This window comes from Homo sapiens, chromosome 3, assembly GCF_000001405.40.
Source record: "Homo sapiens chromosome 3, GRCh38.p14 Primary Assembly".
NCBI classification, from domain to species: domain Eukaryota; kingdom Metazoa; phylum Chordata; class Mammalia; order Primates; family Hominidae; genus Homo; species Homo sapiens.
In genome coordinates, this window is record NC_000003.12 from 77,685,492 (window position 1) to 77,703,479 (window position 17,988).

The 17,988-nt window shown below is 38.5% G+C and overlaps 1 annotated feature.

The window, feature by feature from the left end:
- Positions 1,043-1,584: an enhancer, noted in NCBI's record as "OCT4-NANOG hESC enhancer chr3:77735685-77736226 (GRCh37/hg19 assembly coordinates)". NCBI's record gives its function as "activates a minimal SCP1, AML or CMV promoter by ChIP-STARR-seq in primed H9 embryonic stem cells {active_cell/tissue: H9 hESC(primed)}" and the evidence as "EXISTENCE:reporter gene assay evidence [ECO:0000049][PMID:30033119]".

The following is a 17,988-nucleotide window of genomic DNA, read 5'->3' on the forward strand; positions in this document are numbered from 1 at the left end:
AAGGTCACAAAGCTAGTAATTGTCAGAGCTGTGAATCAAATCAAAGCCTTGTTTATTTGTTTTTTTCCTCCTAATGTCTCATACACAGATTAAACACCTGAGGGGTACTGAGACTGGCTTGGTGACCAGAAATAACTCTCATTGGCCCTGCCTCAGAGTCTGAAATCCTTAGCATTCTCCACTTCTTTCTGTTAAAGGCAGCTGTTTAAATGCAAATTATATCTGGGAAGGTGTCACATTAATAGCTACTACCAGCTATTAACTCCTAAACACAAATCAATGTGCTTGTTCGGTAGACTAGACAGGACTCTAAAAGAATCTATAGTTTGAAGGAAATCTTTGAACAGAGAATGAGGAAGATGGGAAAGGTTGTGAGCATAAGGATGCTGTCACGATGGGGGCCTTGGACAAGTGACAGACCATAAGTGCTGGGAGGTGAGCAGACCATGACACATGCCGGTAGGACAGGGGAAGCAATCTGCAAGGGCTGTTAGGAGTGATAAAAGCAAAGACTGCCTGCTTTACATTTTTGCATACAACCATTTCAAATTCTGGCATCCATTTTGGTCATGTTTCAGTCTTTATGATAAAATTCAGGAAATTACCCTCCCCCTTGAGTGTGTAGTATGTTTTAAATATGAAGGATTAATCCAAGACTGCCAAACCTAATTCACATAAGGTTCTAGCATGAGCTCACATTTGATGATCATTAACATCTTTCACCTATTCTTCAAATTCTTTAATGAATAAATGTATCTTTTTTCCTTAGAATACAGGACAATTGGACCTTTCTTCTTCAGTGTCATATACATATATAATGTAAACTATGATGCTAAAAAGATTAAATCATGTGACGAACATTACCATGTTGCTTTGTTGTCAGAAACATAACTAATGGAAGGAGGTTAGAAAGGTATTACAGAAACAACTCTAGATTTATAATTTTTCCCATGAATTACTCATACAAACAGATTTCACAAACCAATAAAGTAATGTGGTGACTGCGTAAACTATTCAATTATTTGTTAAATTAAAATATAAGTGACAGAGCTATTTGAGCCTTAGTGGCTAATGTTGATGCCTAATAAATTTGTTATAAAATGTTACAGGGTTTTTTTTTTTTTAAGACCATCACTTAGGCTTAGATTAACAATAAAAAAGCAGGAGCTTTTCCTAAGGCTCTAGGTGAACAATGGCACTTGAAAATGAAACACTGGCAAATTGCCCATCTCCTGTGGGAAAAGGAGGAAGGCAGCGGCAGCATCTTTGCAAGCAATCACACTATAGAAGGCAGGCTCCTTCGTGGGACATAACAACATCTCAACAGGACTCAGAGATTTTTGTCAAGAGCCACAATTTACACAATAATTACACTCATTGGAGCAAATACTGATCCCAAATTCCCTCCTACTTCTTGTCCTTTCCACAAATCAAATGTTTTGTCCATGTCCCCAAGTTGTTTTGAAGAATTAGTTTTATTCTTGTATTCATTTAACAAATCTTAGCTTGCGTGTGTGTGTTGTGTTTTTCCAAGCAGTCAATTCAGAGAGCTGACACCATTTTCCTATTAATGTACTAAAAGAAAAAAAAGAATACAATTTTAGAAGTTTTGACATACCTAAGCCTACCTCTTCTATATTCTTAAGGGAAACAAACATTTTTTAAAAGTGTGGCTAAGTATGCTAATCATAATTTATTAAGAAACACAAAACCAAAGGCAATGAAAGACAGCTTGGATTTATGTGGAAATGGCAAAGATTATATTGTGCATTTTACAAGACAAAGGTAGTTTTTCCAGACTATTAGTTGCTGATTTTTCAAGGACAGATGTAAAGCTATTATTTTTCCAGATGAATAGAATGAAGGAGAGAGGTGCATTTGCTGTAGCTCATGCTCATGTACTGTTGCTGTTCACAAAACATCCTCCTGTGTCTGTCTTGACAACATGGGAATTCAGTGAGGCTATGATCAGACTCTGGCTTCATTGTGCCATGAAAGAGAAGTCGTTTTAGTTCACTATAGCTCAAACTATTGATGTCCAAACTCATTATGCATTATTAACTTCTTTATGGTGTTGGGACACCAAAGAGAGATCCTGTTAAGAAGCAGAAAGTGCAAAACAGAATCAGTAGGATATTGTAATCAGGTAGAGAAGAGACTAAAGTGCCTGGGAAAAGACCTCCAGATGGTGATGAAAAAAAGATGACCTCCAATGGAGATGCTACACAAACTCCTCGAGGGGAGCCTAGTGGCCACAAGCTGGGAAGGGAACTCGACGAAGAAGAAAGAGCAGCCAATTTCTCCTTCTAGGTAGAGATCAGGTCAAAAGCCTCCTTGGGGATAACATGCAAACCCTTCAAGGGAGAGAAGCTTGTTGATTATCTGTGGATTTCCATCACTTATGCACAGAGTTTATCTTGTCATAGGGTTGTGAGAATAAAATAAATTAATATGTGTTTTAATATTGAAAATTATATACGAATGTTATTTTTATCATCTCATTGACATTGAAATACACACACTATCTATTAAATTGATGTAGAAATTTCACTGGGAAATGATGAGACCAGTGCTTAATATTGGATACTAACACTACACTTTAGATTTCCATCCTTGTTTCCATCCATAGGTCCCCAGAACTGTAAAATGGGGTAATTATTTTAAAGTGAAATTAAGAAAAATTATTAGGTAATGGTGAATAATGGTTAACCATCAGAAGCATTTCCCCAACCTAATAGAAATAGTAAATAGTGACTTGGGAGATCTAAGGACATGGTCTCATATTTTGTTTGAAGCTATTTATTAACTAACACTTAGTTTTTGCAAACTAAAGCTCTAATATAACGTATCCTATCCAATTACAGATACACAATTGTATGCAAATGTGCAAATAAGAACAAATTCAGAAATAAATACATTTTAACAGGAGCTATGTTATAGGCATATGATTTAGAGACTAGGATGTTAGATAGTAAGAATATGTCTGTATAATTCAGCTTAAGGCAATGACACGGTCCTATGATCTGGTAGTCTTAACCATTTCTATTATTTTAGCTGGGCTTGGATTATCATATTACTTACTTGAAAAGAGAGCGAATGAATCATGAGGTCAAAAAAATAATGTAAATTTCACTAGTCCTTATTATCACCATAATGTATACATGGTAATCTCACAGAGAGCTCAGTTAGTGAGACTGTAATATGTGTTGTGCTGTGTTGTGTGCGGGTTCTGTGTGGGGGTGTATGTGAACAAAGAAAGGGCATGTGTGGTGGAAGTAATTTTGTCCATTTCATTAAGTAGTGTTCTCTGGGAAAATTAATAGGCAAGGGAGGAGAGGCATGGAGCATCACGGGATATTTGGAAGATAGGACCATTCTGATTTCACTTGGAGCATTAGCTGTGAGGTACTGTAGAAATGCAGGAGAGGAGGAAAGCAGCCACATTTCACCTGCCTGGAGAAGCTGGCTGGGGCTGTTCATCCCTCACAAGCAAATCTTACTTTCCACCTTTAGAATATATCTCTTAATTCAGCATTTACCTCTGTGGAAGACTGTAACATGCCACTCCAAAATACGAAAGATTGTTGAGCTGAAGGCAATTAAAAAGAATTAGATGCTGAGAAGCTCTCTGTTCTCCTCTATTTGCCTAAAAGCAGGACACAGATTTATAAAGATCAAAGATAGCCTACCTTCTCTTCCACCAAGGGGAATAAAGGTTAACCACTAAGATCAACTTTAAACCCTTCTCTGCCTTGACACGGTACCAGAGGAATCTACATGAACAAGGTTTATTAATTAGCTTCTCTCTGCCATTCCTTTACCTTCCCACAAGTTGCTGGTCCTAGAGACTCAAAGTCCTTTTCTTTTGTCTTGTCACCACCTCTTTGAAGATTACTTATTTCCCTGGTATCATCCATGTATATATGAGATATATATATTAATACACTTCTGTTTGTTTTTCTCTTGTTAATCTCTTACAGGAGTTCTTTCCAACTAGGAATTTATGAGGACTGAATAAAAAATTATGTTTCTTCCCCTTCATCTTGTGTTACTGATAAATAGTTACGACTATTTAGTTGTTAGTTTATTGAGGGCAAAGATTTTCTTATTTATGTCAAATTCTCTCTTCATAGCAGGGTACTTGAAAAGACCTGGCACGCAGTGCATATGAGAAGTACGAGGAGTGAAAAGAAGGGAGGACTAAGAATCCGAGACCGGCATGTGACCTGCTGGTGGAATCTGACCTGATGCCCTCTCCCAGAACCCATGATGAAGATTCTCCTCTATCACCACATTCAGGGAGGTGGCTCTGTGGCAAAGAGGGGCAGCCTCAGAAGATGTGTCTTAGGAGTGCGTACGGGATTAGCTATTGTCCTCTGTGGCTGCCTTACATCAGCTTACAAGGAATATTGCACCTGGAAAAGAAGGTGAGGAAATGCTGAACTCAATGGTTTCTAAATCTCTGTGCTCCTGACATCTCTAACATTCCAAGACTATATCCAATTGTCTGTTGGTTAGATGCAGACAGCATTATTGATGCTTAATGATTTCATTAACAACAGAAGCCTCATTAAAGTGCTAAAAATAAAATGCACTATTCCTTAATAACCAGTAAAATAATCGGAAATAGGCTTAATTCAATTTAGCTTTAAGGAATTGTAGGGCTGTATAGCGAGCTGTGAATAATCTGCTTTAGATCACTGTAAAAGTGCTGTGTATTCAAATCGGGGAGAGAGAACATTTTAGTCTCATCAGTGGATATAGATTAGCGTGGTCATTAGCATGGCTTTATAAATCCACTGGTTTAGAGTTACAGAAGGCTAGAAGGTCACACGTTGAAATTTCTCGGAGTCCAGCCCATCAGAGCCATTGCAGAAACAGTTTCGGAGTTTCCCATTGAACTCATGTGCCTTCTGCATTAGACTATTTACATTTTTGACACACATTGTGTCAGTCAAGTGAGAGAAGATAGACATCAAGTGCTTGAAGGCCCTAATATACCATTTAGAAGGGAGCCTCCAGCTGTGGCAATGAAAATGTAAGGGAAGAATACAATCTTTTTTAAAGAACCCTTTAAAACATAAAAGAAAAATTACAGTGTGCCTCACTGCTTGATTGTCTCCTGTACAAAGGCAACTGACACGGACTAGAGTCTGTGGCCTTGCAGCCCACGTGCTTGCCAGATGATCTAAATTACTCAGGCTTGAAATGAGAAAACTGAGGCCTCATTTTCTATGTAGACGGGTTCAGACATTTGGTTGTTTTCAATCAAAGTTCCATGCATGTCCCTCAGTCCTCTGTTCTCCCCAGCACCTTAAAACAACACAAAATAAAATCTGACGTGAAAAATGCTGTCTTGATTCTTGTTGAGCATTATCAGTTGAAAATGACAATCCTGACTTTCATAAAATAAAAATTTGTATAAATATGTTCCTGATGCTCATAATAATATTAAAACTGAGCTTTGAAAGTATCATTTCTAAGCTTGTAAATGGGATTTGCAATCCTTTTTCAGAATGTCACCAAATCTGAATTTGACCTGGATGTAATCAAGTGCTGCTAGCTGAACATTCCTTGGGGACCTGACCATTCACATCTAAGTAAAACTTTTAGCTAGAGAGAAATAGCCCTACTCCATCCATTTAATGATAGTTGCCAACTTCCCTGAAGAAGTAAGATGCAACAGATGATTTTTACTCAGTGCACACTATTTTCAGGATGAGAGTTAATTTGTGTTACCAAATGCTATATTCCATCTATCACTTCCCTGACTAATTAAGTCCAGATGAGCCTTACATGTGAGACTTTTTTTTGTTGTTGTTTAGTGGCCCTGACCAATATTTGAAATAGAGATATTTTGTTCATTTCAATTCAAATGGGTGGGAAGCAGGTAACCAGCCTTCACTGAGTGCCTGTACAGTAATTTAAGGCATCACACTGTTGGCGGTTGATATGGCTTGACTGTGTCCCCACACAAATCTCATCTTGAATTGTAGCTTCCACAATGTCCACCTGTCTTGGGGGGAACCCAGTGGGAGGTAATTGAATCATGAGGGCAGGTTTTTCCCATTCTGTTCTCGTGATAATGAATAAGTCTCACAAGATCTGATGGTTTTATAAAGGGCAGTTCCCTGGCACATGCTCTCTCGTCTGCTGCCATGTAAGACATGGCTTTGCTTCTCCTTCATCTTCCGCCATGATTGTGAGGCCTCCCCAACTATGTGGGATTGTGAGTCCATTAAACCTCTCTCCTTTATAAATTACCCAGCCTCGAGTATGTCCTTATAGCAGCGTGGGAATGGGCTGTGTATTCAGCAGTGTTCTCAAAGTTCCATGTGCATCAGATCCTTTGGGTGTTTTGTTGTTAAAACACAGATGCTAGTGTCTCTTCTCATAACTACAGAATCAGAATGTCAAGAGGTGGGCCTGTAGGTAAGTTGTGAAAAGCATCCAGGGAATACTGGTGGATCTGGGTTTATATTTTGAAAACACTGGTTTATGATCTAAATAGAAGCTATCAGTGTGGAATAGTGAAAAAATGTACTGGTTTTAGAAGCAAATTACCTTGGCTCCATTCTCAGTTCCTTGGTTTGTTAACTGTTCTTTCCCGTTAAATGAGCATCTCTAAGCCTTAGTTTATCAGTAAAAACAAGGAGGGCCCAAAACAGTATGTCTTTATGTTTAATGATCCATCTAGCAATATTACCAACTCATTTTGTAATGTTGTGTTTTAAAATAATATTGGTCTATTTTTTTTTTACTGGTAATGTGTTTTAAAATAATATTATTCTTTTTTTTACTGTTTTTAGAGCAAAAAATCTAGATTAAGGTAGTATTGAGAAATTTTCATTGAAATAGTATTGTTTACCCTACAGTGCTCTTTGATATACTGCAATTCTAAAGTAGATAACATGAAAATAAGCTCCACTTTTGATTGCATAGATTTGAAGTACAACATCAACAGCAATATGATGTGAGCCAAGAATGGGCCCTATTACTAGTGAAATAAACAAACAAAAGAAAACAAACTGTCTTTGGCCCCAGACAGTATGGCATGGCTAAGAATGAAAACAAAGTGTGTTTCTGTTGTATACAACACATCTGGGGTCTAAACCTTGTTTAAGGACTCAGATCCTGGTAATTTCTACCATCTATTCCCAACCTCAAAGTTAAATGTCAAAAGAGAAAGAAATTTATAAAGATATGCCCTTCTTTTTCTCAAAATCATACTCTTTAAACTAGTCCAAAGCAATATTAACTCTAGAGTTAATAGCTTAATTTATTTTATTTCCTAACTGTGAACAGATTATTATTATATATTTAGCTGTTACAGTTGTTGTCAGAGTTAATGTCATGCATACCGCATTTCAAGAGGACTTAAGCTCCTTGAAAATTCCCTATTTGTAGATCCACTCCCCTTCCCAACACACACACATACGTACACACGATCACCACTTAAATAAAAAGAACATTCAGGAGAAAGACATTATTTGTGTATTATGTCCATGCCTGTCTATAGCAGAACATTTCATAATATGGATGGAATTTTATATACCATCTCTGCAAAGGTGACTTTCTATATGCAAGTTGGCAAGAGTGGATTTAGGAAGAGGTAAAGGACATAAGAATAATTTATGATTTCCAATGATCTTATCGATTTTGTTGACTCTCCTTTGTTCTATGATATTTTCTAGTCTTTATTTCTAATTTAGATCTTATCCAAAGGTAATACAAACGAGACCAATGACATTGTCTTCAGAATCAGAGGAGTGCAATACTAGGCACTTGGCAATTCATCTGTAGATTATTTTTGCACCTGCACAATTCCTTTCTGAATTACGCACTCACAGGCCTAATGCCATGCCTCAAGGGTAGATCAAGGTGTGCTCTGGCAGCAGTCATCTAAGTCAATTTCCCAGCACCTGCAAATATTAATTGTTAGTTGAATTTGGACAGCTGAGGTAGGCAAGTCCTTTTTTTCTCCTGTCTTCTTTTGCATGTGGTTCCAATCACAATTATGACTAACTAAATAATATCTGATATTAATCAATGCAAATTCACTTCTAGGTCGGGTTAGTTTCTACAGTATTGAAGAGGGGAAATAATATTCTTTTAAACTGGTGATTAAAATTAAGATTTATTATGGTTACCAAAGAGAAAAAATATTGTGTTAAACATCAATGATGATACAGTGTTTAAGAAGAAAATAAATAGTAAATTGCATACATAAATTCCTGACTAACACTGGTAACACTTTCAAATTGAGGGGGAGACAAAGGTGAGGAGGTCAGAAGCAAATTCTGTAAGAAGACTTGAAACGTGACATTCGTTTCCCTGGTGCAAATGGTAAACTTGGTGCCTGACAAAAGTCAGTAGATTTTGGGTGACTATATCTGACTAACACCTGTTTAGGGGCAGGAAGAAGTTGCACCTGAACCAACATCCCTTTTCTTAATTTTACTTTTGATTTTCAGCACTCAGCAGAGTGAGTAGTGCAAATTAGAAACTCCATAAATATTTGCTGAGTGAATAAATAAGTCAATAAAGCAGTTCTACACTTTATTTTCTAAAGAAGATAATGAGATAAAGCCTGAAAGTATGAAGATGGAAGGTTCTCCTTCACTCTAAAGAAATGAAAATATTCCTCAACCTTTGGCTAGTATTTACATCACTACCAATTCACATATAACAAGCTTTTTTTTTTTTTTTGAGACGGAGTTTTGCTTTTGTTGCCCAGGCCGAAGTGCAATGGCACGATCTCAGCTCAACAAAATCTCCGCCTCCTGGGTTCACGCCATTATCCTGCCTCAGCCTCCCAAGTAGCTGGGATTACAGGCATGCACCACCGCTCACTGCTAATTTTTAGTATTTTTAGTAGAGACGGGGTTTCTCCATGTTAGTCAGGCTGATCTTTGACTCCCGACCTCGGGTGATCCGCCCGCCTTGGCCTCCCAAAGTGCTGAGATTATAGGCATGAGCCACCATGCCCAGCAATATAACAAGCATTTTTTAAAATTAATTTTCAGTATGGGAAATAGGGTAGGGGACTGATATATTTTTCAGGAACCAGGCTAGGCATGCTATATGCACCGTTTCATGACATAGACATCATACCTCTCATTTTGCAGACTGTGAAACTGAGCACTGGAGAAGTGGACTAGCTAGCTAAGTGACACACTGCTGTTAAGTGACGAAACTACTTAATACTTTTTTAGGAATAGGACCCTTAAAAGGCAGGATAAGTAACTTTTAGAAATAACAGAAAAAACGTTTTTGAATAGCTCTTATATATATATTATGGTAAGCTACTGTATAATTAAATAATATATGCTTTTATTTTGGTTTTTGTTTTTAGTCCTAAAAATCCATGCTTTTAAATTAAATCAGGGTTCAAAAGTAAATATTAATGCATATATACATATAGATACAAGTAAAATAAAAAAGCAAATAGATTTTTAAGCAAGTCTAGTATTAAAACATTAGATTCTGCATTTCATTCAGAAGCATGCACTTAGTATCAAATTATGGAATCTTAAATGGATAAGACTCACTGACTCTGTTGGGTTTAAAAAATGAGGATGAGAGACACTTGGAAGGAACGACCGTAGTAGGTCATAATGACTACCATAGAAATATGTGAATGGTCTGTGTAACCAGGAAATAGTGAAAACCTTTCCATCAAGAGACAATGTGAGTGGGAAAATACAATCAAGAATAACCTGGAACACACACACACACTCCCACTGAGTCAACATTTTGTTTGTTTGGTAAAGTTTATTTCCTTCTTATTGTGCTCAAATGCATTAACTTGAAAACTGCAGTGCTCATTTATAAATACACCAAATGGAGTTATTTTATAAAAAGACCAAGGTAAATGAAAGTTCATAGAAAACTGGCAAGTAGTTACTATTTTATAATACTAAATTAAAAATTATTTTCCTACAAGGTAGTGAAGACTTTTTAAAAAGGACAACGATTTGATCAGTTTTGTATATTTAAAAGATTATTCTGTTATCATTGTAAAGAATAGTTTGGGAAAAATGCAATGAGTAGTAGATACATGGCAATATGTAATGATTCAAACAAGAGATGATGAAGGTCTCACGCAGAACAGACAGGAGGCAACTGTAAGGACAATCAGGAGCGAGGACAGTAAGAATGGGTCATGAGTTACAGGGCAGTTTTACAGGGAGATGGATAAAAAGAAGCCACTCCACTATTCACAATAGCAAAGACTTGGAACCAACCTAAATGTCCAATAACGATAGACTGGATTAAGAAAATGTGGCACATATACACCATGGAACACTATGCGGCCATAAAAAATGACGAGTTCATGTCCTTTGTAGGGACATGGATGAAGCTGGAAACCATCATTCTCAGAAAACTATCGCAAGTACAAAAAACCAAACACCGCATGTTCTCACTCATAGGTGGGAACTGAACAATGAGAACACATGGACACAGGAAAGGGAACATCACATACCAGGGCCTGTTGTGGGGTGGGGGGAGTGGGGAGGGATAGCATTAGGAGATATACCTAATGTTAAATGACGAGTTAATGGGTGCAGCACACCAACATGGCACATGTATACATATGTAACAAACCTGCACGTTGTGCACATGTACCCTAAAAAGTAAAGTATAATAATAAAAAATTAAAAAAAAAGAAGCCACTCCACAGAACAGAGCAAATTTTCTAAGACTGCATACAAAGACTTCAGACTTCACTATTAGAGCTTTCTATCTCGTTACTTTAGCTTGAAGAATCGTAAAAGAATAAGTTTTTAACATAGAGTGGTAACATAGGACATGGCCAGTGTGTTAGTCCATTTAGGATGCTTTCACAAAAATGCCACAGACAATGGGTGGCTTAAACAACATTTAATTCTCATCGTTCTGGAAACTGGGAAGTTGAAGATCAAGGCACTGGCAGATTGAGTGTCTGGGGAGGACCCTACTCCTGGTTCATAGATGGTGGCTTTTTTCTGTGTGAGAACATGGCAGAAGAGGTAAGGCAGTTCTCTAGGACCTTTTTTATAAGGGCACTAATCCCATTGATGAGGGTTCTACCCTCAGCATCTAATCACCTCCCAAAAGCCACACCACCTAATACCATCATCCTGGAGGGTAGGATTTCAACATATAAATTTTAGGGGGATACAAATATTTAGTCCATAACAGCCAGTTTGTAGAAACTTCTTCCCATTTTGTATACATGATGCATACTTTCTGTTTTCTCCTCCAGACGCACTTCTCTCTCTTTTCCTGCCACTCCCACCTCACCTTTCTGCCCTGTGAGGCTGCACTTTATGGACACCCTGGCCCTCTGCACCAGGCCCTGTTTCTGTGTCCCCAGATCTGCATCATTGCATTGCTTGTATTTTGTGCAGCCCTGGCAAGGACTAGCATTGTCCTGAAGATCGTGGACTTAGATATTGCTGATGCGTCAGGACTCTGCTGTGATTATCTGCTTTCTTTGAGATCACTCAATGGCACATCCACACAGAACCTTGGCTCACATTTCACATTTATCTCCTTGCACCATGTAGCTTCACAATTGCTGCTGAAAAGGTGATACCATGAAGCCGCTCAGCACCCATGCATAGCACAATCCAGATGGTCAGTTATCATACTTCACGGGGCTCTTAATAGCCAATGGAGCTTCCATACCACTTCTCTGGAGACGTTTCACAAACCTAAGCAATCTGCTTATTGTGAAGATGTGGCCAGCTTAGGTAAAGTACTTAACATTTTTTTAATCTCTCTTTTTTGCTTCATCCCCCTTTCTCTGTTTTGTTTTTATTGGATTATAGTCTCAGATAATATGATATCACAGGCTCTGTTTTAAAGTATACTTGGGCTAAGACACCTTATGGCTTCCAATTTGGAACAATCAGAGATATGGCAAGAATATGTTAATTCAGAAGAGAGTGAATTTGGGGTTTTTGTTTCCCCGACTTTATCTTTCCCAATTTCACTCCAGCCTTCTCCTACCACTATACATTTTGGGTTCCAGTATCTGCTCCTTCCCCTTGTCCCTCCAAGTCTAGGTGAGATAATGACTCCAAGATGGTGAACCATCTCTTACTGCTTTATCTTAACCTTCCTACACCTTTATAATTATTTGCTTTATTACGCATCCTAATTACTTGGTTGTTTTTTTCAATATCTCATTTATAAAGGCTTGCAACTGATCCAGAGAATATAGCACGTAAGGAAAGTTGGAAATTGACAGGTTGGTGATCTTAGAATAGGAACAATGTCCTTGCGATAGTTTGCTGAGAATGATGGTTTCCAGCTTCATCCGTGTCCCTACAAAGGACATGAACTCATCATTTTTTATGGCTGCATAGTATTCCATGGTGTATATGTGCCACATTTTCTTAATCCAGTCTATCATTGTTGGACATTTGGGTTGGTTCCAAGTCTTTGCTATTGTGAATAGTGCCACAATAAACATACGTGTGTATGTGTCTTTATAGCAGCATGTTTTATAATCCTTTGGGTATATACCCAGTAATGGGATGGCTGAAACACCACATGTTCTCACTCACAGGTGGGAATTGAACAGTGAGAACACATGGACACAGGAAGGGGAACATCACATGCCGGGGACTGTTGTGGGGTGGGGGAGGGGGGAGGGATGGCATTAGGAGATATAACTGATGCTAAATGACGAGTTAATGGGTGCAGCACACCAACATGGCACATGTATACATATGTAACAAACCTGCACGTTGTGCACATGTACCCTAAAACTTAAAGTATAATAATAATAATAATAATAAAAGAAGAATAGGAACAATGGAGAAAGCCAGCCAAGTTTATAGAGGGATCATGCCAGAAAAAGATTTGACCAACTTGATACAGAGGTTGAACTACATTTCTAACGTCTTCGAGGTTTAACATTCCATGATCCTAGTTAAGGAGGGCATACATCCCTTGCTATCAATCATATCTATTGAATGAAATAATAGAGGGAAAAATGTTGGTAGATTTTCTTTTTGAGTTATGTCAGTAAATGATAAAAAGTAAGCAGGAGAGATGCTTTGATATATTAAAAACAAACAAACAGAAAACCCAAAAAGCACTCAGCTTAGAATCAGAATAGAGGAGACTGTGCTGTCACTGAGATACTTATTAACTACATGACACTGAACAAATTATTTCCATCCCCCTAGTCCTAGTGTTCTAATATGTAAATTAGGGATGAAAATGCCAACTCACATGGGTCACATGGTTGTTATAAAACTTAAATAAGATGAAGCATGTGAAAATACGTTATTTTCATAGAACATTAGTGATATTATAAATATGGGTGTAAATATTTGCTCTTTGTTGAAACAGTCTAATGTGCATTAAGAATTGCAACTGGAAATTATGAAACAATACCTTGGACATGTCTTTGGGAAGACAACAGGCCCTGCACTTCACCTGCTTCACCTGTGAATTCACCTTTATAAGTCTTTGCCTAAATAATGCACTTAGATACAATATATCATATAAATATAGAAAGCATATCCATTTTATGTTATTTTTCAACCAAAAAATCATTTTTCTGGGTGTCATTTTACAAAGATGTTTCTCCAGTCAATATAACTGAATATTTTTTTCTGACATTTTTACTATTTATCCAGTGCAGTGAAAAAAGTCACCTTTCCAAAACAAACAAAAACAAGTGCCTTCTAGGAAGACAGCCACAGGCATAGATGAAGACTGAAGCAAATCCCGGTCCTTAGGTAAGGCTTAGAGCCAATTCCTCTGGTTCCACAATGCTTTGCCCCATTCTGTGGATAACACTGAGCTGCTTTAAACCAGCTATTCATGGTTTCAATGCAGACTCCGTCTGAAACTGCAGCATATGTTACCACAGACATTTGATTCTCTTGTCTTCTGAGACTGACTCAAAAAGGGCATTTATCAACTGTTCTTGTTTTCTTTGGTTCACATGTTGAGGTTTTGCTGACATCCACTGTAGAATTGAAATCAGATCCAATATCCCATCAATTTTCAGCATAGAAAAGCAGACACACTTCAGCTATGTCACTGCATCAGCAGTAAACATATTTAATAATATCAATTACTGACTGCCACACTTCCATGATCTGGAAAAACATACAGCCTCTTGGAGATAGAGTCTTCTGTGACTAAAAGAATAACGCATTTATTATAGAGTGTGGCACAAACATTTTCAGCAGATACTAGCTATGCAGCTAAAGGAATAACATAATCTTCTGTGATTATTTGGGAAATAGATACTAAATAAATAATCTAATTTCTCTAGATAAGATTCTCTAAGAAATCACTGGATTCCTTTAGAAGAACTGGATTTAAATATCCCAGAGAAATAAACTGAGTCTTGAAAATTACATATAGTTAAATTTGACATTGTGATAAATTGGTTGTTTTTTTGTTGTTCATCTTGATAATTGCTATCCTCCATTAGCTGCTCTATATGTTTTCTCATTTTATTATGTAAACAATCATGTGAAGTAGACATCAGTACACCCGTTTTATGGAAGAGGAATCAGGAACTTTGAAATGGCAAATAATTCAAGGCCAGCAGCTAGTAAATGAGAGAGACAAATATTAAACCATTTCCTGTTAATGTAGGACTAAATTCTTTCAACTATATTCTAATGCTGTGGGTTCTGTTCAAGAAGCCATTAGGGATTCATTTCTTTAAGATTTTGGTTTTTAAGTCTACAAAGATTGTTCTTTTTTAGAAGCAAAACTTTTTTTACTGTTATCCTTGTGACCTCACAGATAATGCTCTACTCGATTGAAAAAGACTTTTTGTGATATATTCCCCTAGATAGTAAGTTTGTGTGTGTGTGTGTGTGTGTGTGTGTGTGTGTGTGTTTTTAAGTGCCTAGTCTCAGCCTTTTGTAGGATCCAAGGTGCTTAGCTAAGGGTCATATTGTGAATGAATATTCCCTTACCTTATGGAGGCAATAATTAAATAAGGGCTCTAAAACTTTAAAAAGTTAAAAAATTTGAAGTTTCTAGGAGAGAAAGGATGGGGTCCTGATCTTGGAAACACTCACCCAGCCAAAGGAGGTAGGGAAGAAAGCCCTTTCCTCTTTCCTGTCATCCTCCTCTTTTTAGGTCTATGGAAAAGTGTTTCTGTTACCTGGGTAGACCCATCGGTACTGCACAGGCAGTGATGGTGTCCTTAGATTCTCATGGCCCTGGAGTGTGATGAGTCAGTTAAGTATCCCCAGATGGGGGAGCTACATACATGGGACTACTCCTTGGGGGACTATGAAACTGACATAGAACTTGGCTGGTCAATGAGAACACTTGGACACAGGGCGGAGAACATCACACACGGGGGCCTGTGGTGGGTTGGGGGGATGGGGGAGGGATAGAAATAGAAATACGTAATGTAAATGACGAGTTAATGGGTGCAGCAAACCAACATGGCACATGTATACATATGTAACAAACCTTCACGTTGTGCATATGTACCCTAGAACTTAGAGTCTAATAAATAATTTTTTTAAAAAAAAGAAGTTGGCTGGTTAAACTTCAGTTGGAAAAATGGTAATATTGAAAGCAAATTTTCCAAAAACTTGTGTCCAAGAGACAAGAAGAGCAATGAGGAATTCTAGCACAATGCTGAGGTGAGATTCACGGGCTAAGTCCTGGGCTCTTGGAGTAAGGCAAGCTCCATTATTGAAAAAGAACCTCCCCACTTTGTGAAGAAAACTGGGCTAGGGAAGAGAGTCAATCAGTTCTCTGCCTCCACATGAGAAGAAGGCTGCATTAACCCATTACAGTAAATTCCTTGTGACTAGCTACAGGGAGGGGCTATATTTTGGAGACTAAAACGGTAGGAATTTCTTCCGGATGATAGGGAATCTGTGAGCCACAGCAGAGGATGAGCACAAAGCCACTGTGCCTGGTGCCCCTGGGTTTCCAGATTTGCTTACTTACCTTACTACAGCAGAAGGAACTTTTCAGTTTCCTGCAGATTTTCTGTTCACTTTTCCCCTGCTCTTTACACATATCAATTAATTTAATCCCCAAACAGTATTATGAGGCAGAGAAAGACTTTACACACTGTCAAGATAGTGTTACAAACCCAGACATCTGGCTCCACAAGCCATGAGCTGAAACATTTCTTCATACTGCCAGAGGTTGCCCATTAATTAGTGCTAGAACAATTTTGTATAAAAATACAGCAGGGATAGTGCAGGGAAATTTTAGTATGAATGTATACTAATAGAGAAAGATTGATCTTGTTGCTACTCCATTCTGGAGAATCCAAGGGACTTTAAGCCTCTTTGTTTGAAGTCCAATAAGGATCTGTTACCATCTTTCCAGGCTGGAGCCAGGACCCTGCTGGAAGGTCCAAAAAGGTAGAAAGAAGCCAGGGCAAGGCAGGCAAAAAGAACATGGGGAGAAGAAGGCTAGGAAAGAAGGAGATACCTGATAACCATCTGAAAAAGACCCTAAAGGGACTGAATGTTTCCTGTTAGAAAAAGCAAAGAAGAGTTCTGTATTATATCCTTCATTTTGTTTTCGTTCACAAGGGATTAATAATGATATGGGCAGAAGGAAGGGAAATACTAGGCAGAAAAGGGTGGGGTTCCTGACAAATCCCTACCCTCAAGCCTGGGACCACAGCCCAAAGTGAGAACATACACTCCTGTTTCCCGCCTTGAAAGTTGCTTTTTGGCCCGCCCCGCCCCCCATCCTGCATGCATAAAAACTCCAGACCCCACTGTCAGAGCAGCAGAGAAAGAGAGAAGAGAAGCAGCAGCTGTACATTGAGAGAAGCAGCTTGGCTTCAGAGGGATGGCCTGACAGTGGGACTTCATGTAGAGTTCAGCTGGGGGATGGCTGGACTTCAGGGGAAGACCACCTTCCTGCTCCACCCATCCCCTTTCCAGCTCTCCACCCCGCTGAGAGCCATTTCTACCACCCAACAACATTCCGAGCATTTACAACCTTCAATTCATTCCTGTGACCTGATTCTTCCTGGATGCCTAACAAGGCATCACACTGCCCCTCCACTGAGCTGTTTAACACTTAAGCTGTCCACAGACGGCAGAGCTAAAAGAGCGCACTCTAACACATGCTCTCTAGGGCTCTGGGGGTTGTGGGCACCCCTACTAGATGGCATGGAGATCTACTCCTGCCAGCTGCCCAGAAGTGCTCGTCCTGGCCCCGGCACCCACTCACCTGCGTGCTCCCCATCCCATGATGGGGTGAGAGCTATGGGCTGAGTAAAGGAGCAACCTCTTTGCAAGTCTTGTGAAGAGATCAAGGGAACTATCGTGTTTCAACAGTAAGGCTGATTTCCTTCTGTTCACAGACTATCCCTTCTGCTCTTCCAGACAGTTCAGCCACAACTGAGGGGTTACATTTATTAATTATTGTAATTACAATAATTATATAATTTATTATTGTAAAGTTCTTGTTTATGCATTAATCTCCATCAATAGACTCTGAGTTCCTCCCAGGCAACTCCACATTCATTTCATACTTGACCCCTGCACCCAGCTCACCGGTGCTGTTGAATAAATGAGAAAACAAATGTTATGTTTTTGTGTCCAGCTATTCAGCTGGGATGTCTATAGAACACTTTTGTTAGTAAATGATTTTATCTAACATTTCTCCAGTGATTAGAAAAATTTCATACCCTAGAGGACGTTATTCTCTCTCCAGAACTTTGAAACAATGGAGACTGGGGTCTTTGCCTGTGGGACTACAACCTCCGAGGGTATTGAAGGGGAGGAAAGATTTCTTGTTTCACACTTCACTAGGTTCATGGCTGAGGCCTCTATAACAAAAGACATATTAACAAGAGAAAAACATACAAATGTATTTGACATAATTTTTACTTGACATAGGAGCCTTCAGAAATGAAGACCTAAAGGAAGAAAACCTGTGTAATTTTATATTTAGATATGATGAAGTGTGGATAGTCATGCAGAAGAGTGATTGGACAAAGAGTGTATAATTTAATGGCAATGC